This window comes from Homo sapiens, chromosome 3 (genome assembly GCF_000001405.40).
Source record: "Homo sapiens chromosome 3, GRCh38.p14 Primary Assembly".
NCBI classification, from domain to species: domain Eukaryota; kingdom Metazoa; phylum Chordata; class Mammalia; order Primates; family Hominidae; genus Homo; species Homo sapiens.
In genome coordinates this window covers 146,561,332-146,587,925 of record NC_000003.12, presented here as the reverse complement: position 1 = coordinate 146,587,925, position 26,594 = coordinate 146,561,332, and the positions used below count along the sequence as shown (strand labels likewise).

At 35.9% G+C, this 26,594-nt stretch overlaps 1 protein-coding gene and 1 pseudogene across 2 annotated transcripts in view, besides 1 other annotated feature; one reads left to right on the top strand and one right to left on the bottom strand.

Annotated features, from left to right (window-relative positions):
- Nucleotides 1-11,371, top strand: part of PLSCR5 (phospholipid scramblase family member 5) — a 28,792-nt gene extending 17,421 nt beyond the window's left edge. The window contains exons 7-8 of one of the 2 annotated variants that reach the window (NM_001321245.2): nt 1,814-1,896; nt 11,201-11,371. In NM_001321245.2, the coding sequence (NP_001308174.1) occupies nt 1,814-1,852 (39 nt within the window). In that variant the 3' untranslated portion in view covers nt 1,853-1,896; nt 11,201-11,371. Of the gene's footprint in view, nt 1-1,813; nt 1,897-1,983; nt 2,090-11,200 lie in introns of those variants that run through there. The other variant, NM_001085420.2, reaches the window with a different exon arrangement.
- Nucleotides 5,046-6,245: an enhancer, noted in NCBI's record as "MED14-independent group 3 enhancer chr3:146299468-146300667 (GRCh37/hg19 assembly coordinates)". NCBI's record gives its function as "activates an origin of replication core promoter dependent on BRD2, BRD4, P300/CBP and CDK7 cofactors, and independent of MED14, by STARR-seq in HCT116 cells {active_cell/tissue: HCT116}" and the evidence as "EXISTENCE:reporter gene assay evidence [ECO:0000049][PMID:35650434]".
- On the bottom strand, nt 16,359-16,449 carry RNU6-428P (RNA, U6 small nuclear 428, pseudogene; annotated as a pseudogene).

Genomic DNA, 26,594 nt, shown 5'->3' with positions numbered 1-26,594 from the left:
TGAAACTCAGAATTTAATACATAGATATATATGTATATATATATGCATATATACATATACATATACATATACAAGTATGTATATTAGGATTATTTCTCCAGGATTTCAGAGGAATTATTTTAACTTACCAGTCTCCTATTATTGGTAGAAGATGGAAGTAATATCTATAGAGTGCTAGGTTTTTAAACTTACTAAGTTGTCACTTACTCTCAACTCCCATTTTCATCTGCAAATCTAACCAGCTTAGTCCACCTTGCCTGTTGCCTAATGTCATCTCTTCCCTATTCTCCTCTATCCACTGGACAGTGCTTTTAACTTGTCACCCTTCCTTTGCTTACTGTTCCCATCTTTGATCATTCTGACTTCAACACCAACCCCTCCACACACACACCCTTTCCCCAAGATCTTCATTAGGCCTTTCTGATTAAGCCCCACACTTAACGTTAATATTTAGAAATAGATCCTTTTTAATCTGCCCTACTCACCTATTTTACATAACAAGCTGATAGTTAAAATGTACTGCCAAAATTGGAACTACAGTTCTCTGTATTTTAAACCTTATCAGTTTTTCTTATTGTTTCAGAAACCCTCTAAACATATGTTCTTCTTGAAAAAGCATGTATTTCTTAGTCCATATGCTTTGAGAGATTGATGAGATGTAGGTTCCGTAAAGGTTGATCTAGGTCATACTCAAAGTGTGGTGCAAAGTGCAAGCATCTGCACCACCTAGAAGCTCGCTCAAAGCAAAGAATCTCAGATCCCACCCCAGATGCATCAGGACCTGCACTTGAACAAGATGCCCAGGTGCTTCCTCTATGCACTATAAATTTAAGAAGCACTGATCTAGATAATACCCTAATCATCTAAAAGGATAACTTTTAAACTCCAGCATTTAAGGGAGAAATGTTCACTGAGAATAGTTAATGACTCCCATTCATTTCTCTTTTTTTCTTTTTACCATCATATTGTAAAACATTTGCCTTTTTTTGCCAGCCAATATAGCTTATAAAACTATTTCTTACATGTATTACCAAGATAAATTACTTTCCTTATACATAATTTTATAGAAAGAATTATGTTTTTAATTTTTAATTGCTGTTTCTATTTTATTCAGGCGAAAGCTTTAGAAAGCTGCTGGTATAAGGTTATTTCCTCATTTAAATACAAATCTAAATCACAAATGAAATCTAATTTTTGGTCTCTTCTGGTTCCAAGATACGGCTTCACAACCCACCACTCCTCCGACTCACCACTCACTCTTTGAGTTCTCTCTGGTGTAGTTTTCAGTACTCCCTCAAATAACCACCTATTGCTGACCACATTATCTCTGGTAATATATCTAATTTTTGTTCAAATATTCGTATCCATTATAACTTCCTACACTGACCCAGAATGCATACAGTCTAATTCTGCAAAGGGTTTATCACCCAAAAGTTTGACAATACTATGCAGATTTAGATAAAGTTTCCAAGTTACTTATACTCTGAAAATTCAACATGAAAATAAAAAGTCACGAAGCTTAAAATTTTTAAATTTTTCTTCTCCAGATAAATCATATAATACTGGAACACTTTGACAATACCATGCAGATTCAGATAGGGTTTCTAAGTTACTTATACTCTGAAAATTCAACATGAAAATAAAATGTTGTAAAGCTTAAGACTTTTAAATTTTTCTTCTTCTGTTAAATCATAATACTGGAACACCACTGGAAATATAATTGCTTTACATAATCAAAGCTTGCATGTCAAACTTTTGATCTTAATTGTTGTCTTTTTGTAAATTCACTTATATTCAGTTTACTTATTTGTAGGATTTTATGTTCTTTGAACATTCACTGGCTGGATTATAATAACCAAGATAATGAAAACAATAAAATATGCAGAACATATTTCAGTAAGTAAAAAGCAAGTTTAAATGATCTCTTTCCCTTTGAAGATGTCTATATTTGACGCTATCTAACTCTTTTTCATTTTCTTCTAGAAATCCCTTGGGCTCTGGATTTCATTTCTGAATGGTTTGAATGTTTGCTTTTTTGTTAAAAAAAAATGTTAATTATTATATTTATTAAAACAGTTTAATGAGGCAATTATCTAGTTGTGAATGCATGATAGCTAAATACGTGATTACTGGCCTGAGCACAAGGTTGCTTTGAGAGATTACCATTCTTTCTTTTTATCCTTTTGAAGTTATTGCAATGGTAAGCATGAAAGATGAGAACTAAGGCTTGCAGCATCACTGATGAAAATTCAATGTTTAGAGAACACTTTTGAAGTTTTTCTGGTACTAAGGCTAGTTACTAATCAAAAGGACTGAGTTTCTAAAACATTTTTTCAAAAGTAGTCCCTTTATACTTTGTTTATTAATTTTCTTATTGTAGTGAGATATTATTACTTTACACTGGAAAAGTTAAAAGTTGGGTAAATAATATATCTAAAGATGAAGAGGAAGATAGATGGTATCAATTCATTCTAGTGGTAAGAGGCACAGTTACATTCCATAAAGAAACTAGTATTTACAAACCAAAGCATGCTTTAAATACCTACTCATGCCAGAGATTTAAATAAGCATATAAATAGACCTCTAAGACCTGCAGTGTTGTCTAGCAGGAATTTTATCTATTTGCAGTGAAAATTCAATCAATTAAGGGATCTAAGGCTCTGAAAAATAGACAACTCAAGGACTTAAAAACAAGCAAAGGAAACCAAATAAATAAAATCTTAATCCATGAGTCAAATGCAGAAGTAAAAGAGTCCAGTACATTCAATTAAATTAATATATTTCACTTCAACATTTATGGAGTTTTCCTGATTACTATCCACTAGTTATCAACATATCTCCAAAACCTACACAAAAGGAAAATTTGTTATGAATGACAATAATTATTCTCTCCTTCTTCCAAATGGAACAGATTTCTTTTAAGCAAGGTACCATGAAGCCATGTAGGCTCTATTTTAGACTTACACAAATACCACCTACAGTTTTATGCATGTATAAGGGTGTTTCAAGAAATTCCAGGCGATTCTTCACTTAGAAAAAGAGAATGTATGCTAAACATCTGTTACTAAGTTAGTCAAGTTAGAGTCATTTGAAATTAGGAGATGATCATTTCCTAGAAATAATATTATGGGTGGTAGTAAGTTCCCCAGAGAACACACAAATATCAATTTAGTTCTAGGCTCTGGAGTAAGGGCTTTATGCTGTATAACATAAAAATGAAAAGCTTCTCTCCCCCATACTCTGGTTCAGTATTCTTCAGTTTCTTTTTCCTTATTTACACCTTAACATTTTCTGATAACCCCCTCCTTTGGCATGCAAAGAATATACATTGCCTCAATCGACCATAACATATCTTGTACCTGAGGCAGAGTAGTTTAGGAATTAACTACCAAAAAATAACTATATTTTAAAATCACGTGCGACCTTTCTCCCAGTCATACCATTTATTTTTTCAGTGTAACTGGTATCACCTTCATTCTGGAAGCAATGCAGTCATAGAAGGGAACAAAAACCTTTTATGCAATAGACATAACCTGGAATCTAATTTTGCTGTTTGCCAGTGCTGCAACCTTAAACTGTGATCTTTGGGGATCTCCTTGAGATTCTCATATTACCTTGAAGAACTCTGGTGATGATGAAGAAGAGCTTAGCATTCCTTCCCTTTCCTCTCAATCTACTGCATTTCAAATATATGGGATTTATGGTTTTCTTATAATCAGCTAAAGTAAATTACACTTTTAAAGCTGATGCTCATTAACTAATAAAATGGAGGACAAATAACATGCCAGGCACCATGCTTTATATAAATTTCTGGTAGGGTAACGAAATGATAACAAAGGAAAATCAGTCAGTATGAGGATGACTGCCTGGGAAATTGTCTTCCCCCCTTCCCACCCAGCACTCCTGCTTCATGTCCCAATTTTCTTCCTAAAGATAATCTTGCTTTCCTATCTTCTCTTGTCCTTTACTTTTGGTTTCTAAAATATAAGATTTTTATAACTGATGTCATAGCAGCAACAGCTGAGATTTTCACCATGGGGCAAAAATGGGAAAAAGAAATTATCATTTGTAAGTGCTGCATTTTACCATGATAAACTGCTTTGGAGACTTTTTTTAATATTAAATGAACCCTAAAATATTGGACAGAGCTATTCAACACTTACACCAAAGGGAGACTCACTAAAGATTAAAATCCTTCTTAGAATATATCACTCATTTAAAAATTGGCTGCATTTAAATAAAAACCTGATGTAGCGCTTTGCTTCCAAGTTGGCATAGTACAATAAACTGAGACCCATTCTGTCTCTCCTTTCTTATTAAAGGTAAAATTGATCTTCTTATCTCTTTCATGCTCTACTTTTCCCTTTTCCACCAAACATAAGTCCATGAGAGACTAGCCAGACCTTATGATTTTTAGTGAAAAGCATGCAGCTCTAGACCAGGACTGATACTTGTACAACAGTGTTTCCTAGTGCACTACTGCCTCTTGTCCCCAGGACAACCCCAGAATACAGGCTCCAACTCTGTTTACTCCAACTCTGTTTACTGTGTTTACTGGGAAAAACTTGACCAGATTCACACAACTCTCATTCATTCATTCATTTAAATAAATATTTATTTACTTGCTCTTACATGCCAATAAGTAGACCCTTCTCTTACAGTGGTAACAGTTTAGTTGAAGAGATAGCTTTTAATCCAATAATGACAAGAACACAGATTACGTTTCAGATATGAGAAGTGTTTAATGGAGAGGGACAAGATGCTAAGATATGGCAATTTGACTTGGTCAGAGAAGGAGGGAGTGATGCTGGATTTAATTAGCACTCAAATCAGCCTCCCTGAACATTTGAAGGCTAGGGTTTTTCAAGAATCATTTGGCAAGCAGGGGGCTAGGGAATGGGTGCTGCTGATTGGTTGGGGATACAAACGTAGGGGTGTGGAAAATGGTCTTCATGCACTGAGTCCACTTCTGGGTGGAAGCCACAGAGGAGTTGCTGGTCTAGGCAGGACCATTCGGTTATTTGAAATGCAAAAGCCTGAAAAGACATCTCAAAAAGCCAATCTTAGTTTCTACAATAGTAATGGTATTTACAGGAGTAATTGGGAAAGTTGTAAATCTTGTGACCTGCAGTATAATGGTTGGTAATCATTTAATTACACCTACATCTTAGCAGAGTTCAGGCCCCTTTCATCCTTTTAACCTGGTGGCCTTTCATTAGATTTATAGAGACAGTTTTGTTCTGGTAAGGGCTATTCTCTTTTAAACTACAAACTAAATTTTTCCGAAGTTCTTTGTCTCACAGCTGAGAAAATCAAGAAGGCGACATGCCAAGGGTGAGGTTAGAGCAGCAGTTTAATAAGCAAAAGAAAGAGAGAAAGCTCTCTGCCACAGAGAAGGGTCCCAGAAAAGAGTTGCCATTTTACAGTTGAATACAGAGGCTTTTTTAAGAAACCAATGAGGGCTGGGCATCTAATTTGCATAAAGTACAAATTTCTGGTAGCTCCACTCTGTCCTCCTAGTGTGCATGCAGGCCCTTACCTTGAGTTACTCCATATTGCTTTGTTCCCCTTACTGCACATGTGTCAGGGGATGGAATTTTCCATTGCAGACATGTCTGGGCAAGTCAGCTGTGTGGCCTGTCTTATCTATGCAGTGAGGCCATGTCTTAGGCAAGCCCTCCTATGCAAGTTCCCTTATTTATGCCTGCAGGCTGTTCTTTTGTTTGAAAGAATTCAACCCAGGACCCACCCTAACTGACTACCTGTCTAGTTTCTTCCTACCTACTCTCTGTGAGGGAGAAAGGATTTCTGGCCTATGCCATTTACTGACAGAGGAAATATTAAAAGAGGATCTGGTTTAGGGGAAGAGCATAGGTTCAGTTTTAGTCATTGAAATTGTAATGCCTTTAAGTCTTTCAAAAAGAGATGTCAAAAAAGGAAAGTGGGTATCTTTTCAACTAGAATATTTCTAAAAAGAGAAGTGAGTTTAAGAGAACTAGATGTGGACCCATTAAGATCTGAATAATTTCTGGTTTACTTCAAGGATGTTCCTAAAAATGTGTTAAATAATACATGGACAATTAATCATTTTTTCATTTTTATTTATTGTATAATTGACCAATAAAAGTGTAATATTTATCATGTACAACATGATGTATTGAAATATATCTATACATTGTAGAATGGCTAACTTGAGCTAATTAACATAGGCATTATCTCACTTTGTTTTGTGCTGAGAACACTTAAAATCTACTACTAGCAATCTTCAAGAATACAAAACATTGTTATTAACTATAGTCACTCTTGAACTTTTTCTTATTCATTCACTTATTTAGCTAATATTTTTGAAACCACTTCTATGTACTAGGCTCCATATTAGGCACTGGGGATATTATATTCAATGGTACATTGTCCCTGCTCTAAACTCTCTTCAACAAATATTTCTGGAATGCATACACTGCACTAGGCATCAATGTCAGCATTAAGTTATAACAGTAAACAAAAGCAACAAGGTTCCTGCCTTTGTGGAGCTTACATAGAATAGAGTTGATAATAAACCAACAGATAACAACACGTTAAGGTTACCATAGATAACCACAAATATTGACAAGGAATCTACCACTCAATATCTAAAACAATAAGCTGAACTTATTACTTGTTCAGGCAAGGGAGAACTGGTTTTGCAAGACACAATTTATAAGCAAAGAAGGTAAATTATATAAGGTTTTGGGAAAGTGTGGAGTTTAAATGCTGGAGTATTGACTTTAGCTATGTAAATATGTTCACTGACTGGCTGACCCTTAGGAATCTATTCACTGGACTAAAGCTATTGCTGATTATCTGATTTTCAGAAATCATGTAAAGAAGATGTTTCCAATTGTCTTTCAGAGTGTGTGTACTTTTGTAATCAATCATTGATTGATTAAGCAGGTTTAATACTAGTTTTGATTGTTACTCGTTTGATTGTTAATGCAAGGAGTGAACAATCAATTCTTTCCTAGAAGGATGAGAATTTTACACCCTCAAACCCATGAAAAAGTAATTCAGGGTAACAAAATAGAAATAGAACTGCTGTTACATTTTAGCGTAGACCAGAAAGAAGAAAGCATGACTTAAGAATATTTAGGAAAAGAGTGTACCAGGCAGATATAAAAGTAAATGCGGGGCAGGCGCGGTGGCTCACGCCTATAATCCCAGCACTTTGAGAGGCCAAGGCGGGCGGCTTGCCTGAGCTCAGGAGTTCTCGAACAGCCGGGCAACACGGTGAAACTCCATCTCTGCTAAAATACAAAAAATTAACTGGGCATGGCAGCGTGGCCTGTAGTCCCAGCTACTCGGGAGGCTGAGGTAGAAGAATTGCTTGAACCCGGGAGGCCGAGATTGCAGTGAGCCGAAATCGTACCACTGCACTCCAGCCTGGGCGACAGAGAAAGACTCCGTCTCAAAAAAAAAAAAAAAAAAAAAAAAAAAAGCAAATTCAAAGGCTCTGAGTCAAGAGCAACTGGGCAAGTTTGAGAAGCACAGGAAGCCAGTATGGAGTACAGTAAACAAGAAGAGAGAGAAATGAACTGCTGTAGGAAAAGTAGCTAGGGGCTAAATCACATACAGTCTTGCAAGGCAAGTTTAGGAAGAGAAATTGACAAAACTTGGCATTTCGTTAGATATGGAATGTAAAGGATTTTAAGAACTCTAGTATATAAAATCAGTTCATTCCAATTTTTGTCATTAGAAACTGAAGGTATGGCCATGACACTCATAAGAACAGGTTCAAATCAGTGTTACAGGTGCTACAATAAAAAGAATGTACCACAAAGGCACAAAAAAAGGAAGCATTCAATACCATTTAAGGTGGAAAGTTAGTACCCCTAGAGAGTAGCTAACAAATAACGCATGAGTTGAATATGTGTCTTCCATGCTAAGTGGGGTCAAAGCTAGGAAGTGTTTGGCTGGGAGAACATTCCAAGCGAAGAGCACAGCACAAACAAAGGCACAGAAGAAATAGAAATATAGTAGTCAGAATGAAGAATGAAGAGGTTGCATAAGATCAGAATGTGCTTAATGAGGTCAGACTCTCTTAGGCTAGGCCACATTGTCCCACTCAGCTGTGCCCCACGTATCCTCCAAGTGATGGTGCTAGATGATGATTCAACTAATATTTTCTTCTGAATTTACGTACTTTGTATTTGGCCAAAGCATCTTCTAGGGGCTTTCGAAATTGTTTAGAAACTGTATTGAAACTCGGAAACTGAATCTGAGCGAATTGACAAGTATTAAGGAGGAACAAAACAATATCTTTCCGAAGCCATAATATCTGGAAGGAAGGAAGCTAAAACTTGTTAGATAAATCAGACTTTCCTACAAAAGAGGGGTTTGGATAGATGATCTGAAGAATTCAGGTTATAGCCCAGACAGGTTGCACACTGAAATTCTAATTCATTTGAGCCTTAATTAGAGGTTTATGGACACATTATTTTTAGATTTGTTGTATTTTATTTTCAAAATGAAAACAAACTGAGGAAATAACATAAACGTTTACTACTTCATAATTTACTCTTACTCCTGTTTGGTAAGTTTTATATTATTGTTTCTTTAATTGCTAAAATAAGGGGAAATGAAATTATTGTTTATCATATTTTGACTTTTCAAATTAAGCATTTTTTCCTTTCTATACACTTTGATTTTTATCATTTCTCCTTACATTGTGTTTTGCTCACCTTGGAAGAAAAAATTCTTTTTAATAAAATTTCTCTAAATAAGTGTAAATGGATTTTGTCTATTTCTTATGCTGTGAAATTTTTGCCATTAAAAATAGGTGGGAATTGTACTTAGTGACATGTATTGTGGTTCATTCTAACTGTCTAGGTGTTAAATTTAGGCATCACATATTTAAATAATTTGAATTGAATAATTTAAAGGATCTATAATATATTTTAAAAAGAAAAAAATTTTCATTAAAAATCTTGTTAAAGAAATGGAAAAAACCATAGTAACTTTTGCTGGCTGAGCCTCTATTTTATGACTGTCTGCCAAGTATTATTATCAGCATTATTGAAAATGCATTTCAAGGCATTTTTGATTTAATTATAAATATATTGTTTTTAAAAAACAATTACAATGGAACTATAAGAGATTTCAAATATTAAAATTTGATATTTTGCCCAAAACAAAATTAAAACACGATAAGACTATTTGTTTCACAAATATATAAAGCCTAGCATTAATGAACATTATGAGACACTGGGCTAGACTTCTTACAAACATTTCTCATCTGATTCCAGTGCCACACATTATAAGCCCAAAGGTACAGATGAAAAAAATCAATGCTCAGGAAGGTTAAGTAACTTGACAGATTTTACAAAACTGTTAGCTTTTTGTCGACCTTCCAGAATGAAGAATATGAGTGGGCAGGAAATGGCACAAGGAAATCACTTTTAAAATAAGGAAATAAAATGGGAAGCCAAAAAACTAGGGGAGAGATGCTTTTATTCCTTTAAGACCTGAATTAATAATATTCTCATCAATATTATGTACTCTTTCTATTTAGAAAGGTAACATATAAACAACTTTAACTCTTTTATCCACTGATAGTATATCTGTGGTGTTATTCTGTGGTTATCTTTGTGGTTATTATTCCACATAATAGATAAAGTAGCCAATGTGTAAGCCTGAAAAAATACCTTTGAGAAAAAGTTTACATTATATTGGAGTAATTAATAAAAAACTTTATTAAACATAAAAGATTTGGAAAATATTTTCCAATATCAATAAATCATAAAAGCAGTTTCGGTCTACCATTTCATTGCCTCTTCAATATTAATTTTAGCTTAACCAAATAATAAAATAAAATGTCAGTATTCATTTTGGCACCTATATTATATTCTTAAGTACATTGAATGTTTTAAACTATACCATATTTTTAATTATGTTGAAAGCTAGCTGTAGAAAATACATAGAAAGACTAATAGAGAATTAAACAGTTGTTACTTTTTAAAATCCAGTTACATATGCCTAGGTAATATATATGTTTAATAAGTCTTTCATGCTGCAGATGGCAGCAACACTTCACATTATGATGGCATTGCTTAGCTACACCAGCAGAATCTTGAAAATACAAATTTCTATTGAGTATTCATTTTGTTCTTTCTGTAATCTGGGAAATAAAACACATCAATTTTGTGTGTAGAAGGGTAAAATTTGATGTTATGTTTTTAATAAACTGAGAAACACTATATTTGTTAATGTATTATGCACATGATGAAAGTTTAGTAATTACTATTTTTAATGAGCAGACTGAATTGATGGACAGTTTCCATCAATTTAGTGAATGCATATATTCCTATTTTTCTAAGGAAACTGAGTAACATTGGCGTACCAAACAGTTAAATAAAAGCACCATAAAATCAAGCATATAATTGAAAGTAGAGTCCCAACTCTGATTTTCTATTTGTCATTTAAGAGCTAAACCATCAGTACACAAAATCTAAAATTATTTAAAATTATACAGAAAATCCACTCATTTTTGGTCATTTGTATGTTGCATCCTGATCGCCTTCAGAGGAAATGTATAGGCCAAACCAAGACACATCCATGGAGTCAAGTCCCAGTTTGGTGACTCAAGGTCATTGAGCAAGTGTGAGTAGGTCTAAGAATGGATACAAATGCCCCACCATTTTAAATAGGCTTTTAAGGTAACAAGATGATAAGAACATAAAACCATAATATTCTATCTAGAGTTAAGGTCAGGGGTCAGAAGCAGGAAAAAGCAATATAAATGTAGAAAAATCAACTTATCGTATGTTGACTTTTAACCCAGGCTAAATGTTTAAATAACATAGCTATTTTTTAAAAATATCCATACCCAGACCTCATTCTGTACCAATTAAGTCAAAATCCCTAAGAGTATCTTTTAAGTCACTTAATTCTTTTTTTTAAAAAAAGACTAGTAATTCTAATGTACAACCAGTGTCATAAACAATTTCTTTTCTAATGCTGACAAAATAGTATAACTTTTATTTTTAATTCCGGATTCAAAATTTGGCTTTCAAAACTATAGTAATCAGTGTCTGGCTTACTTATATAGACTTTATTTTAACCTGAGCCTTTATATTATAGTACTGTAATGTCCCTCTAGAATCCCATTATAGATCTCTAGCCTATTATCTTTAAGCAATAATAATAATGATATCATCTTATTTTTTAGAATTATTTAGAGTATTTCAAAGCACTTCCACACATATGAATGGCCTGCACTGGACCTCACAAGAAAACAGAGGGTTTCAACTGTGCATAACATCAGAGATGACCAGGTGCAACCTCCATATATTGAAGACTTAGAAAATGAGAAATATAAAAATTAAATTACTTTGTTTTACTTTGTGCCCACAAGTCTTTTTATTATACAAGAGTATATGCAAAAAGACTATACATAAATATATAAAATGCTCAACATGGTAAATTGTTTAATAAATTATGGTTCACATATAGAATGGGGTTCTGTTTTCTTAGAATGAGATTTTTAGATGATAAAATACATAGAGAGATAGACAGGATGGAAATTATTATATAGTTGGTAAAGGAAAAGCATTTACTTTGCATGTGTGCAGAACTATGATTCAATTCTTGTAAAATTAAAAAATAAGTACATATAATGTGCGTGTGTGTGAGAGAGAGAGAGAGAAAGAGAGAGAGAGGGAGAGGTGGAAAAGGTTAAATTTCCTAATTGCTACAGCAGAAGCACAGGTATGCAAATCACCTAAAAGCCATATTGATTTTTTTAAGATATACATTTAAAAGAATGCCAGCCAGGATATAGATCTACTCTAAGGTATTTCAAATTAGTAGCTCACCTTTCAAAACCATGAGATAACTTTTTTGATCAACAGAAATATTGTAAAGATTTGAGAGAAGTATTAAGCTCCTAGATCTAACTCTGGGGAACCCATATGATTGTGATCAAATTCAGAACAATGCATATTTTTTGTGGAAAATAAGTTCTTCCCAAGGGCTGTTCATAAATTTAACTTAGTCAGACAACCTTAATGAGCGAGGTTATTCTGGCCTACAAAACACAGCTGGGAGAAATGGACATGCAATCATCAATAGGAATATGTGTCTTCCTGATTTTTGGCAGCCAAGTCCCAGAAACACAGTTACTGGCTCTGACAGCGTCTCAGTACAAATAAGAACTACAGGAACTAAGACAGTTTGGTTCTTAGTAGAAATTAAAAAAAAAAAAAGGAGTACATAGTCCAGAAATGTAATGATGCTTACTCTATATGGAAAATTAATTTATGATAAAATGATGTTTTTCAAAGGAATAAGTCAATAAATAAATGACTATTTATTCATTGAATAATCATTCAATAAACTCTGGTAAGGAAAACCTTAGCCAATATGGAGCCACTTTTGTTTAGCTAGTGCATTTCCAAACTCCCTTTTGTCCATATCAATCTCAGAGGCTAAATGTGCTGTCTGTGTGTGTGATAGAGAGAGAAAGAAAGAGAGAAAGGAATATGAAAATGTTATGTTCCTTATTTGCTACAGCAGAAGCATAGGTACGCAATCATCTAAAACCATGTAAGATATTTTTGATATACGTTTAAAAGCATGATAGCCAGATTATAGGTCTACTCTACAGCCCTACAACTATTACTTTCTCAGCTTCCTTGTATCTAGGGGCCCCATGTAGTCAGGTATTGTCAATGAAACATAACCATAACTCTATTAGGACTTTCAGTAAAGCGTTTACTTTTCTGTAAAAAGAGGAAGATGTTGCTGGCTCTATTTTTCTGATTACTTCTTCCTCCAGGGAACACAATGTGATACCTGAATATAGAGCAATGATCTTGTGTGAATAAGTCAACAAGCCAATACTCTAAAAGTGTAAACCAAAAAACATAGAAGGAACACAGGTCTTTGAAGATACGATGAAATTGTTTTCCCTGTCCTGGACTACCTACCTCCAAAATTCTTAGCTGAGACCATTAAAGGTGTTATTGCTTAAGTCACAAGTGTTCAGGTACACTGTAACATGAAGCTGAAAATATTGTTATCTAATATGACCATTAAGAAAAATTAAAATATGATTTTAGGCCACACACAAATATAAATCTAGATATAAAAATAGAGAAATAAAATTCAACATTTTCTTCTTATGCAATAAATTAAAAAACAACTAAGGCAAATGAAAACTAAGACAATTGAAAAAAAGCTTACAATATAAAAGAAGACACAGTGTTTATCCATAATGAGGAAAGAGCTTCTGCAAATATATGAGACAAATATACTGAAAGAAAATAGGAAAAGCACAGGAACATAAAAATCACTAAAAGAAAGTATTAACAGCCAGTAAAAATAAAATTATGTTCAAATTCTCTATTAAAGAAATGAATCAGAATAGAAGATTCAAAAATCTGAATTATCCATTGTTATCAAAGATTCAAGAAAGTATATACTCTTGGCAGTAAGGTAAATTGATATAACTAATCAGGAGAGAAAATTTGCTTCAAGTGCATTTATTTTAAATGTATATTTTAGTCGAGTAAGCAACTTTGCCTATAGATTTGCTAAGTAATCACAAAAGCTTCCAAAGATGTGTCAGGGTGCTTGCTGCAACATTGTTTTAACATTCTCAGTAAAATAAATGAAGACATACTAAAGTTCACCAATGGTGATTTAGCTAATAAATTATTGTTCAAACATAGAATGGAATTGTCTCCTCTTAAAAATGAGATAGATTGGTAGCCAAGCAGATGGGGGTGGAAGGGAAGGAAGCAGGGATAAAAAGTATCTGTAATATTGTTGGTAAAGGAAAAACAAACCCTTTTCATAGCACGTGAACTCTGAAATGAAATTGAATGAAATGAAATAATTCATTTAAAATGTTAATAAAAATAATTACATGTACACTAAATAGGGCATTCTAAAATTTAAAAATCTAGAATACATACCAAAATATTGACAGTAATTATTTCAATGTAGGGTCAGGCATAACGGGGGGAATTAAATACTACTTTAAATAATTCTGTGTTTTTAATTTTTTGAACAATAAACCCATTTAATATATAGCTCTAAAAATACATATAAGCACACACGGCTCATACGCACACAATTGTTAAAGTACAACTATTTTTAAAAACAATTATCCAGATTTGCCTCATAAGGAAAAACTTGTGACATTTGAATTCATAGGAAAAAACTTAAGAATAAAATTTGTTAAAATAATGTCTTTCTTTTCTACATGACTACTGTCAACCTTTCTTTTCACTTGTTTCTAAATGAACCCATCTCTGATACATATCTATTTCATTTTTTCATTGATGTATTTGTCAGAATGTCTAACTCATAAAGATGTATAACTTTTCCTGGGATTTATCACACTACCCAACATATTTGAATCTCAACTGTTAGTATTTTATTTCACAAAATTCAGTGGTGATTTGATTTGATATGGCATCAATCCAACATGAGTACTCAAGGTGGGAAAGATATATTCGTCCTTTTTTAAAAGTTTTTTAAATTGTTATTTTTTATGGGTACGTTGTTGGTGTGTAATTTATGAGGATGTATGTGTCCTTTCATCAAAATATATACTCTGAAATTACTTGGTACCTAATTTACCATCAATGCATACTATAATACTTTCATTACTATTTCATTTTACGGCACATAAGTGCAGTAAGAAGAGAAGTTGAGAAGGTGGAATTCATTTCTTAATGTATTGGTCTTGAGGTGCTTATGGAACATCAAAGTCCAGAAAATTTGCAAGTACCTGCCAGGAGAATGCTCTAGCTTAAAGTTTTGAACTTAGAAAGTTAAACTATGAGTGCGTGACATAAAACCTTGAAGCTATATAGCAGGAAAAGATAAGTGTCAAAAGTCGAAGAAAGCCTTGGGACACCATACTTTAAAGAATAGAAGAGTCCACAAGGGACAGAGCAAAATTACCTGGAGAATAGCAGGAAAAACAAAAGTCTGATGCTTTAGAAATTAAGAGAGGAGAGATTTCTATAAAGTGGGCAGTGATTAACCAGGCTAAATGCTACAGCGAGTTAACAAAAAGATAGGATTTAGTTATTTTCTTTGGATTTAGATCTTAGAATATTAGGCCTTGGAGAAGGCAGTTTAAATTTATTTTGTTGAGGGTCCTAATTTAATGCATCTGGGCAAAATGAAAAGCAAGAAAGCAGATAAAATGGGTGACTTTTAAAAATGTAACAAAAATAACTTGGAATTAACATAAAAAGGTAGTAACAACCACAATGATCTGGCAGAGGGTAGCACTGCCAGGTCCTAATGAAGCAGGGACTATTTTATTTTGCTGCAGAGGAATTACTGGAAATATAAGCAAAGCCCAGAGAATAATAATATAAAAACAGCTTAATAAACCTGTTATTCTGGTAAGAGTGAGGTACTTATTCCAGAATCAAAAGCCTGAACATTATGCTGATCATGAGTTAAAAGATTAAGCTCAGATATAACTTTTCTGGAGTTATAGAAAAAACACAAAGAAAAATGAAGAATTAGATAAAGAATTAGAGCTTCTAACTTTCAATAAATTCTTCTATATGGGTTGCATGCAAAGCCAGATGTCATGGTTCCATATTAGATTTTAGAAAATATAATTTATCTATTAAAGTTAGCAGTTAAAATTTTAATTATGTAGAACCTAATTATAGAATTAGAAAATAATTTAGAACAGAATGTAGTCTGGATATTGACATATTGTATTTACATTAAAATTGTATCTGTCATTCTAAGGGAAGAAATTATTTCTTCTTGTGTGTTCACAACTGTCACTATCTTATTCCTAAGCCTGCTTATTCTCCCTGACACTAGCCTCTCCATCTTACAGTCCATTCTCCATATAATTGCTAGATTAATCTTTTTTTTTTCTTTTTTTTTGAGATGGAGTCTCCTGAGACACCAGGCTGGAGTGCAGTGGTGTGATTTCAGCTCCCTGCAACCTCCACCTCCTGGGTTCAAGTGATTCTCCTGCCTCAGCCTCCCAAGTTGCTGGGACTACAGTTTTGTTTTGTTGTTGTTGTTGTTGTTGTTTTGTGGGTATTTTTTTTTTTTTTTTGTATTTTAGTAGAGATGGGGTTTCACCATGTTGGCCAGGATGGTCTCCATCTCCTGACCTGATGACCCACCCTCCTAGGCCTCTCAAAGTGCTGGGATTACAGGCGTAAGCCACCGCGCCCGGCCTGGATTGATCTTTTAAAACCAAGTGTCTGAAAGTGCCTTTTAAAGTTCAAAATGGCGCACTGAAAATAACTTGTCTCTCCTCTCTCCTAAGTCCACAATACAATTATAGCAAATGCAAATGCTGATAGAAAAAACAACCTCTCAAATTTACCTCACAAATTTTCGTGTCATCCTTGTGCAGGGACCATGCTAATCTTCTCTGTATCGTTCCAATTTTGGTATATGTGCTGCCAAAGCAAGCACAGGATATTTTTAAAAAGATATTCATAAATTCTAGGCTGAAGTTCCAAGTCATATTGGAACACTGATAGATGGAGGAATATGTGAGCCTATCATTCAGATTAAATGTGCACATGTGAACAGTCTATGATGGAGAAAAGTCCTTATCCCAGGGAGCTACCTGGCTCAAAGACAGCAATACCAGGCAAGGTGGGAGTACGAAGAACAACTCAAAACAGAGTTAATTGAAAGTCTGTATAATGAAATATGCTAGTCAGGTGTCCCACACCAACCTCACTGCTAGTCTCTTCCTTATCTCAATGAACACTAAGCCTAAGCAGCCCAGCATTATACTTTCAGGAATCCAAATTAGTACTCTTATTGAATCTTAATTAATTGCACAGGGAGAACTAAGGTTTTGAAGTTTCTGGAATGGCTTCCCATGCCAAAGGATGGCACTCTCCTCATTTTAGCATCCAAAGAGCGATCTCCTCACCTGCTCACCCTAATTGTGATAAGCACTGTCTCTACCTTGGTTCCCAGTCCTAGTCCTACTAGTGGGAGAGACCTAGTAGAAAAATGGACATATACGACAGAGAAAAATAACAAGAGTCACCGGTCTTCCATTCTTAAATATAAGTGAACTAAGAACCACTACATATATGAAGCATAGAAAACCAAGACAACCAAAAAATAGGTGACCAATGAAGAAACAAATGTAAATCAAAAAACATAAAAAAATTTTAAAAACAAAATTCTACTGTATTTTGAGGAATTTGAAAAATTAATACATCCATTAAGGAAGGACAAGAGGGTCTGAAAAATAAATAAAAGGAAATGTAAATTACACATGCAATATAAACATATTACTACGTTCCTGGAATGGCTATGATTTAATATAATAATCCAAAGAAAATTTTCATTTTCTATTTGAATTAAGAGTTTTCACTCCCTTTCCAGGAAATATTTTAACATAAGTTCTAATAAGAAGCATAATCCACACATTTTAAATATTATGTCTTTTAATTCTCAAAAGAAGGTAAATATCAGCAATGAAGACATCACTAACCAAAACAAAGTAGTCAAAACATGTAGATTTCACATAAACAAATGTATAATCAGTTGCTGACTGTTTTGCTTACATATACTTAATAAATGCACCAGTCACTGTGCACTTTGGCACAAGAATTAGGAGCCAGATTTGTGTATTGGTAAAATAAAATAAAACAGAAGCTTAATTTTTTGTTTGATTTCATAACACTATAAAAGAAAGAAAAGAAAAATTGTAAATGTATAATCCACATGAATGATTCACAAACTGTCACAAGTAATTGACAAACTGCTAGCTGTTTTCTTAGATATTAGTATTACTTTTCTGAAACAAATAAAAATTCTATCAAATATATATATATTATAAAACATTTCCAGCTATAGGAAATTAATGTTATCTCCTTCTTACCCACAGTCTTTAATAACCACTATGAATGAACTATTCAAATTTTCCATGAGATGAATGTACAAAAACATTATTGTATTGCTTTGTATTATAAATAACATGGATTTTGCAAAAATAAATACCATAAGTAAAGTAGAATGGATTTTTTAAAACATGCATTCAATAATTATAAAAAGATTTACAGTGAGTCACTCTTAGAGTAAACTCTTTGGTATGACTTATGATTCTTTTTCATTGTAGAAGGTAAAACATATTTCAACTTTTGATATTCAACTTTTAATTCTATCCCTTTGTTCTCACAAAATAGGGTCCACCATGTGCATTTATGAATGCAACAGACGTTTATATAGGCACATCACTCACTGTATTTATGCCTGGTTGTGGCTTCCAGAGAATACCAAAATGTAAATATCTTTGCAAGATGGAATGTTTCCGTTATTCAAACTGCAAATTGAACAGCTGTGAGGGCTGAGGAATTATCAAAAATCACCACACAGGATGCAGATTTTAATTCCTGCCCTTCACACATTTATGCACAATTACAAGAACAAGAAAACAAAAACAAACCTGCACATGTATTAGCCTACAAGAGAGGGAGGCAGTGAAACCTCAATGTTGAAAAGCTGAAATACGAGTATAACACCTTTCAAATTCAATTCTGAAGCAAAAAGAATTACATCTTAATTTTAAATCTCAGCCTGACTAACTTTATTCAAATTTAACTATGCTTGAGGCACTCTGATTTTCCTGCATTCATTTATGCTTTTCCCTCTCCCTTAGTACATTTTTTTTCTATTTTTCTACCTGCCCAAATGCTCTTCATATTTAGTTTTTGTTTTTATTTTTGAGGCAGGGTCTCACTGTCACCCATGCTGGAGGGCAGTTGTGTGATTACAGCTTATTGCAGCCCTGAATTCTGGGCTTAAGAAATCTTCCCACCTCATCCTCCTTGAATAGCTGAGACCATAGACACATGCCAGTATACCCTGCTAATTTTTTTTTTTTTTTTTTTTTTTTTTTGTAGAAATGGGATCTCAGTATCTTGCTCAGGCTGGTCTCAAACTCCTGTCCTCAACCGATTCTCAGTAAGCCTCGCAAAGTGCTGAACAGGCATGAGCCACCATGCCTGATTTACTTTATCTTTTAATGTCAACACAGTTTCTGCCTCAAAATTGTTCTCTAATTTTTGTCCAGTGTGTGTTACTTTCTCCATTCACTTCATGCAAAAAAAAAAAGTAATGGTAAGTTTATTATGAAATTACCATATTCTACTGTGTATTACAGCTATTTACTTTCTGTCTCTGATGCACTTTCTTTATTAGACTGTGAGCTCGTTCTGGGCAGGATTTGACTCAGAACCATTTTTGTGTCTGTTCCCCATGGTGTCAAGAACACTGTGCTTTGGATATAATTAATTTCCATAAACATCAATTGTCTTATTGTATACCAGATGAAAAATTTAAGCAGATACTTGTAATATCAAAGACTTGACTAATATTCATCATTGAAATTTCACAATGGAGAGTATGTCAATCATCCATTACAACTTTCCATGTAAAATGAACAAACAAACAAACAGGAGTTTTATGTAACTACAAGCTCAGGCAACTGCCTAGAAAGCCAAACATTTACCGAGATAAATTGACAGAAATGTATGTCCATAACATAGGGGTAGCTATGGCACTGCATGTGTCAATAATTGAAATGGTTTGGCTGTATCCCCACCCAAATTTTACCTTGAATTGTAATAATTTTCATGTGTCAAGGGTGGGGCCAGGTGGAGATAATTGAAAAATGGGGTCAGTTTCCCTCATACTGTTCTTCTGGTAGTGAATAAGTCTCATGAAATTTGATGGTTTTATAAATAGAAGTACCCCTGCACAAGCTCTCTTTCTTGCCACCATGTAAGACGTCCCTTTGCTCTTCTTTAATCTTCTGCCATGATTGTGAGGCCTCCCCAGTCATGTGGAACAGTGAGTCCATTAAACCTCTTTCCTTTATAAATTTCCTTTATACCAGTCTAAGGTATGTCTTTATTAGCAGCATCAGAATAGACTGATAAGTAAATTGGTACAGGGTAGTGGGGTGCTGCTGTAAAAATACCCAAAAATGTGGAAGTGACTTTGGAACTGGTTAACAGGCAAGGATTGGAACAGTTTGGAGGACTCCAAAGAAGACACGAAAATGTGGGAAAGTTTGGAACCTCCTAGAGACTTGTTGAATGGCTTTGACCAAAATGATGATAGTGATATGGGCAATAAGGTCCAGGCTGATGTGGCCTCAGAAGGAAATGAGAAACTTGTTGGAACTGGAGCAAAGGTGACTCTCTATGTTTTAGCAAAGAGACAGGTGGCATCTTGCCCCCGCCCTAGAGATCTGTGGAACTTTGAACTTGAGAGAAATGATTTAGGCCATCTGGTAGAAGAAATTTCTAAGCAGCAAAGTGTTAAAGAGGTGACTTGCGTACTGTTAAAAGCATTTGGTTTTATGCACTCACAAAGATATGGTTTGGAATTGAAACTTATGTTTAAAAAAGAAGCAGATCATGAAAGTTCAGAACATTTGCAGCCTGACAATGTGATAGAAAACCCATTTTCTGAGGAGAAATTCAAGCCAGCTGCAGAAATTCTCATACATAACAAGCAGCCAAATGTTAATCACCAAGACAATGGGAAAAATGTCTACAGGGCAGTACAAAGGCCTTCACGGCAGCCCTTCCCATTACAAACTAGGAGACTTAGGATGAAGAAATGGTTTCCATAGGCCGGGCCAGGGCCTTGCTGCTTTATGCAGTCTCAGGACTTGGTTCCCTGCATCCCAGCTGTGGCTAAAAGGGGCCAACGTACAGCTCAGGCCGTTGCTTCAGAGGGTGCAAGCCCCAAGTCTTGGTGGCTTACACGCAGTGTTGGGCCTGCAGGTACATGGAAATCAAGAATTGAGGTTTGGGAACCTCCATTTAGATTTCAGAGGATGTATATAAATGCCTGGATGTTGAGGTGGAAGTCAGCTGCGAGAGTGGAGCCCTCACTGCTAGGGCAATGTGGAAGGGAAATGCGGGGTGGGAGCCCCCACACAGCATCCCCACTGGGGCACTGCCTAGTGGAGCTGTGAGAAGAGGGCCACTGTCCTCCAGACCCCAGAACAGTAGATCCACTGACACATTGCACCATACACCTGGAAAAGTTGCAGTCAGTCAAAGCCAGCCCAGGAAAGCAGCTGGGAGGCGGGCTTTACCCTGCAAAACCACAAGGGCAGAGTTCCCAAGACCATAGGAACCCACCTCTTGCATCACTATAACCTGGATGTGAGACATGGAGTCAAAGGGGATCATTTTAGAGCTTTCAGATTTTACTGCCTCACTGGATTTCAGATTTGTGTGGGGCCTGTAACCTCTTCATTTTGGCCAATTTCTGCCATTTGAAATGCATGTATTTACCCAATGCCTGTACCCCCATTGTATCTAGGAAGTAGCTAACTTGCTTTTGATTTTACAGGCTCATAGGCAGAGGGCAGGCTCTGAGACATCTGCCTTGTCTCAGATGAGACTCTGGACTGTGGACTTTTGAGTTAATGCTGTAATAAGTCAAGAAGTTGGGTGACTGTTGGGAAGCATGATTGGTTTTGAAATGTGAGAACATGAGATGTTGGAAGGGCAGGGGTGGAATGATATGGTTTGGCTGTGTTCCCACCCAAATCTCATCTTGAATTGTACTAATCTCCAGGTGTCAAGGGTGGGGCCAGGTGGAGATAATTGAATCACAGGGGTGGTTTCCCCCATATTGTTCTCATAGTAGTGAATAAGTCTCATGAGGTCTGATGGTTTTATAAACAAAAGTTCCCCTGCACAAGGTATCTTGCCTACCACCATGTAAGATGTGTCTTTGCTCTTCCTTTGTCTTCTACCATAATTGTGAGGCCTCCCCAGCCATGTGGAACTGCGAGGCCATCAAACCTCTTCCCTTTATAAATTACCTAGTCTCAGTTAGGCCTTTATTTACAGTGTGAGAACAGACTAATACAGTGATATTACATCTTGGATGTTACAAACACTATTATTATTTTTTCTTCAGTAGTAAAATATCTAAACTGTAGTTTTAGAATTTGGAACACATAAATATAACATATATTATAAAACATAAAATGGGTTTGGGCAATATCAAAATATGAGTGTCACTCAGTAACTTAAAAACAAAATCTTAAGTTGTATTAACTTCCAAATTTTATGTCTACTCAATAGATAAACAGGTTATTCATTGGTTGACACCTGGGAGGACTAAATAATACATATTCACTATTCTGATGATATTTCTAGGAGACCAAAAAAAACTGGTAATAGAACATAAAAAATGTTCTGTGGAGAAATTAAATAGTTAAAGAACAAAAAGAAACCTCTACAAATTTTGGAAATACCTCAAAAAATCATATTTTAAACAAATCACCATATAGTGTGGAAAATTGATGGGCAAGCCCTGCTGCTGAGATCTGCTATTTTACTTCCTCTGGCATAAATATAAATATACTATCTGAAAATCCCCAGACATTTAAGAAAATCCTCAGAAAAACAAAAATCAAAACATAAAATAAACAGAGACATTGCGAGTAGCAAGAAAAAAAATTGGGGAAAAATCCCAATTAATAAGATAATAATATCTTGTGGAATATAAAAAAAAATCTACCTAACAAGGATAAGAAACTTTTTTTTTGTTTTTTTGAGACAGAGTCTCACTCTGTTGCCAGGCTGGAGTGCAGTGTCACAATCTTGGCTCACTGCAACCTCCAACTCCTGGGTTCAAGCCATTCTCCTGCCTCAGCCTCCCAAGTAGCTAGGACTACAGGTGCACGCCACCATGCCCAGCTAATTTTTGTATTTTTATTAGAGAACAGGGTTTCACCGTGTTGGCCAGGATGATCTGGATCTCTTGACCTCATGATATGCCCACCTCGGCCTCCCAAAGTGCTGGGATTACAGGCGTGAGCCACTGCTCCTGGCCAAAACTGTTTTTTAAAAGGATATTTGGGGGAGGCAGGGGGAGATGAAAATAAGATACTAAAATTTAAAATTAATTTAGTGTCAGAAAGATAAATTGAGAAAACCTGCCAGAAATTTAATCAAAAAAAAAAAAAAAAACAGGAGAAAAATAAGGAAGAAAAGAAATGAAAGGGGGAGGGAGGAAGAGAGAAAGAAAGAGAATAAAAGAGAAAATTAAATTTAAATATCCTATTGTGAAATGGCCATGGGTTTACCTTGGCCAGTAAAAAGAGAAATAACCATTGCAAGCAAAGCTACTCTGTTTTTTTGTTTTTTGTTTTTTGTTTTGAGGCAGGGCTCAGTTGCCCAGGCTGGAGTGCAGTGGTGTGATCTCGGCTCACTGCAAGCTCCGCCTCCTGGGTTCATGCCATTCTCCTGCCTCAGCCTCCCGACTAGTTGGGACTACAGGCGCCCACTACCACACCTGGGTAATTTTTTGTATTTTTAGTAGAGACAGGGTTTCACCATGTTAGCCAGGATGGTCTCGATCTCCTGACCTCGTGATCCACCCGCCTCGGCCTCCCAAAGTGCTGGGTTTACAGGGTGAGCCGACCATGCTGCTCTGATTCGGAAGGAGCTAATCTTGGTAGCTTTTATGCTCTGTTTCATATTTCATGAAGGCGATTTTCCCCCTGGATTCCTGGGTTTTGCAACTGTGGATTCAACCAAGTGCAGATCAAAAATATTCAGAAAAAAATAATGTAATAGAACTTCAAAAACCAGAACTTGAATTTGCTTTGCCAAGTACTATGTAGAATCCACACAAATGAAGTAAAACGTATGGATTTTAATAGATATTGTAATAATCTAGAGATTATTTAAAGTGTAGAGGAAAAAGTTTGTAGATCACATGCAAATACAAGACCATTTCATAATAAGGGACTTAAGCATCCACAAACTGGGATATCTGAGGGAGGTTCTGGAACCACTCCCCCAAGGATTCCAAGAGACAATTGTACTCTTTTTCAAAATAAAATATTTAATTTCTTCTATGAAAAAGAATTATACACTGGGTGTGATGGACACATGCTTGTAATCCCAGCACTTTGAGAAGCCAAGGTGAGCAGAACTCTTGGGCCCACCAGATCAAGACCAGCCTGGGCAACATGATGAAACCCCATCTCTACCAAAAATGTAAAAATTAGATGGGCATGATGGACCACATCTTTAGTCCCAGGTGTTGGTAGCCTAAGCCGGAAGGATCAGTTAGCCTGGGAAGTTGAGTCTGTAGTGAGCCATGATCATGCCACTGCACTCTAGCCTGGGCAACAGAGTGAGATTTTGTGGAAAAAAACAAAAAACAAAAAAAAAACTATATATAATTTGTAAAAGAGTTCCATAAGGTTTGACTGTGTCCCCACCCAAAATCTCATCTTGAATTGTAATCCCCATAATTCCCATATGTCAAGGGAGAGACCAGGTGGAGGTAATTAAATCATGAAGGCAGTTTTCCTTATGCTGTTCCTCTCAAAGAAAAAGTTTCCCTTATGCTGTTTTCCTGATCTCATGAGATCTGATGGTTTTATAAGTGTTTAGTACTTCCTCCTGGGTTCATTCTCCTTTCCGCTGCCTTGTGATAAAGGTGTCTTGCTTCTCCTTCACGCTTCTGCCATGACTGTAAGTTTCTTGAGGCCTCCCAAGCTATACAGAACTGTAAGTTCATTAAACCTCTTTATTTTATAAATTACTCAGTCATGGACAGTTCTTTATGTGTGAAAGATGTGCTAATACAGTAAATTGGTACCCACAGAGAGTGGGGTACTGCTTAAAAGATACCCGAAAATGTGGAAGCGACTTTGGAACTGGGTAACAGGCAGAGGTTGAAACAGTTTGGAGGGCTCAGAAGACAGAAAGATGTGGAAAACTTTGGAACTTCCTAGAGAATTGTGGAATGGCTTTGATAGTGCTACGGAAAATGAAGTCCAGACTGATGTGCTCTCAGATGGAGATGAGGAACTTGTTGGGAACTGGAATAAAGGTGATTCTTGCTATGCTTTAGCAAAGAGATTGGTGGCAATTTTCTTCTGCCCTAGAGATCTGTGGTACTTTGAATTTGAAAGAGATGATATAGGGTATCTGGCAGAAGAAACTTCTAAGCAGCAAAGGGTTTGAGATGTGACATGGGTGCTGTTAAAAGCATTCAGTTTTAAGCATTCACAAAAAGATGGTTTGGAGTTGAACTTATGTTTAAAAAAGAAGCAGAGCATAAAAGTCTGGAAAATTTGCAGACCAATCATACAATAGAAAAGAAAAACCCAAATTCTGGGAAGAAATTTAAGCAGACTGCAGAAGTTTGCATGAGTAACAAGAAGCCAAATGTTAATCGCCAAGACAATGGGAAAAATGTCTCCAGGGCATGTTAGGGGTCTTCATGGCAGCCCCTCCCTTCATAGGTCTGGAGGCATAGGAGGAAAAAGTTGTTTCACGGGCTGGGCCCAGAACCTTACTGCTTTGTGGAGTCTCAAAAGCTGGTTCCATGTGTCCCAGCTGTGGCTAAAACGGGCCAACATACAATTGAAGCCATTGCTTCAGAGGGTACAAGCCCCAAGCCTTGGAGGCTTGCATTTGGTATTGGCCCTGCAGGTACACAGAAGTCAAGAATTGAGGTTTGGGAACCTCCACCTGGATTTCTGATGATGTATGGAAACACCTGGATATCCAGGCAAAAGTTTGCTGCAGGGGTGGAGCATTCATGGAGAACCTCTGCTAGGGCAGTGTGAAAAAAAAATTGGGAGTTGGAACCCCTGCACAGAGCCCCCACTGGGGCACTGCCTAGTGGAGCTGTGAAAAGAGGGCCACTGTCCTCCAGAACCCAGAATGGTAGATCTACTGACAGCTTGTACTGTCCACCTGGAAAAGCCACAGGCAGTCAATGCCAGCCTGTGAAAGTAGCTGTGAGGGGGGCTGTACCCGGCAAAACCACAAGGGTGTAGCTGCCCAAGGCTGTGAATGTCTCCTTCTTGCATCAGCATGACCTGGATGTGAGATTTTGGAGCTATAAGATTTGACTGCCTCTCTGAATTTGGGACTTTCATGAGGTCTGTAGCCCCTTTATTTTGGCCAATTGCTCCCATTTGAAAAGGGTGTATTTACCCAATGCCTGTATCCCCATTGTATCTAAGAAGTAACTAACTTGCTTTTGATTTTACAGGCTCATAGGTAGAAGGAATTTGCCTTGTCTCAGATGAAACTTTGGACTTGGATCTTTTGGTTAATGCTGGAATGAGTTAAGACTTTGGGGGACTGTTGGAAAGGCATGATTGTGTTTTGAAATGTGAGGACATGAGATTTCAGAGGGGCCAGGGGTAGAATCAGGGGTAGAATGATATGGTTTAGCTGTGTCCTCAGCCAAAACCTCATCTTGAATTGTAATCTCCGTAAACCACATAATCCCCACATGACAAGGGAAAGACCAGGTGGAGGTAATTGTATCATGGGTGCAGTTTCCCCCATACTGTTCTCATGATAATGAGTGAGTTCAACAAAATCTGATGGTGTTATAAGTATTTGGTAGTTCCTCCTACATTCATTTTCCTTCCTGACACCTTGTGAAGGACATGCCTTGCTTCCCCTTTACCTTCCACCATGGTTGTAAGTTTCCTGAGGCCTCCCCCACCTGCAGAACTGTGAGTCAATTAAACCTCTTTCCTTTATAAATTACTCTGTCTTGGGAAGTTCTTTATA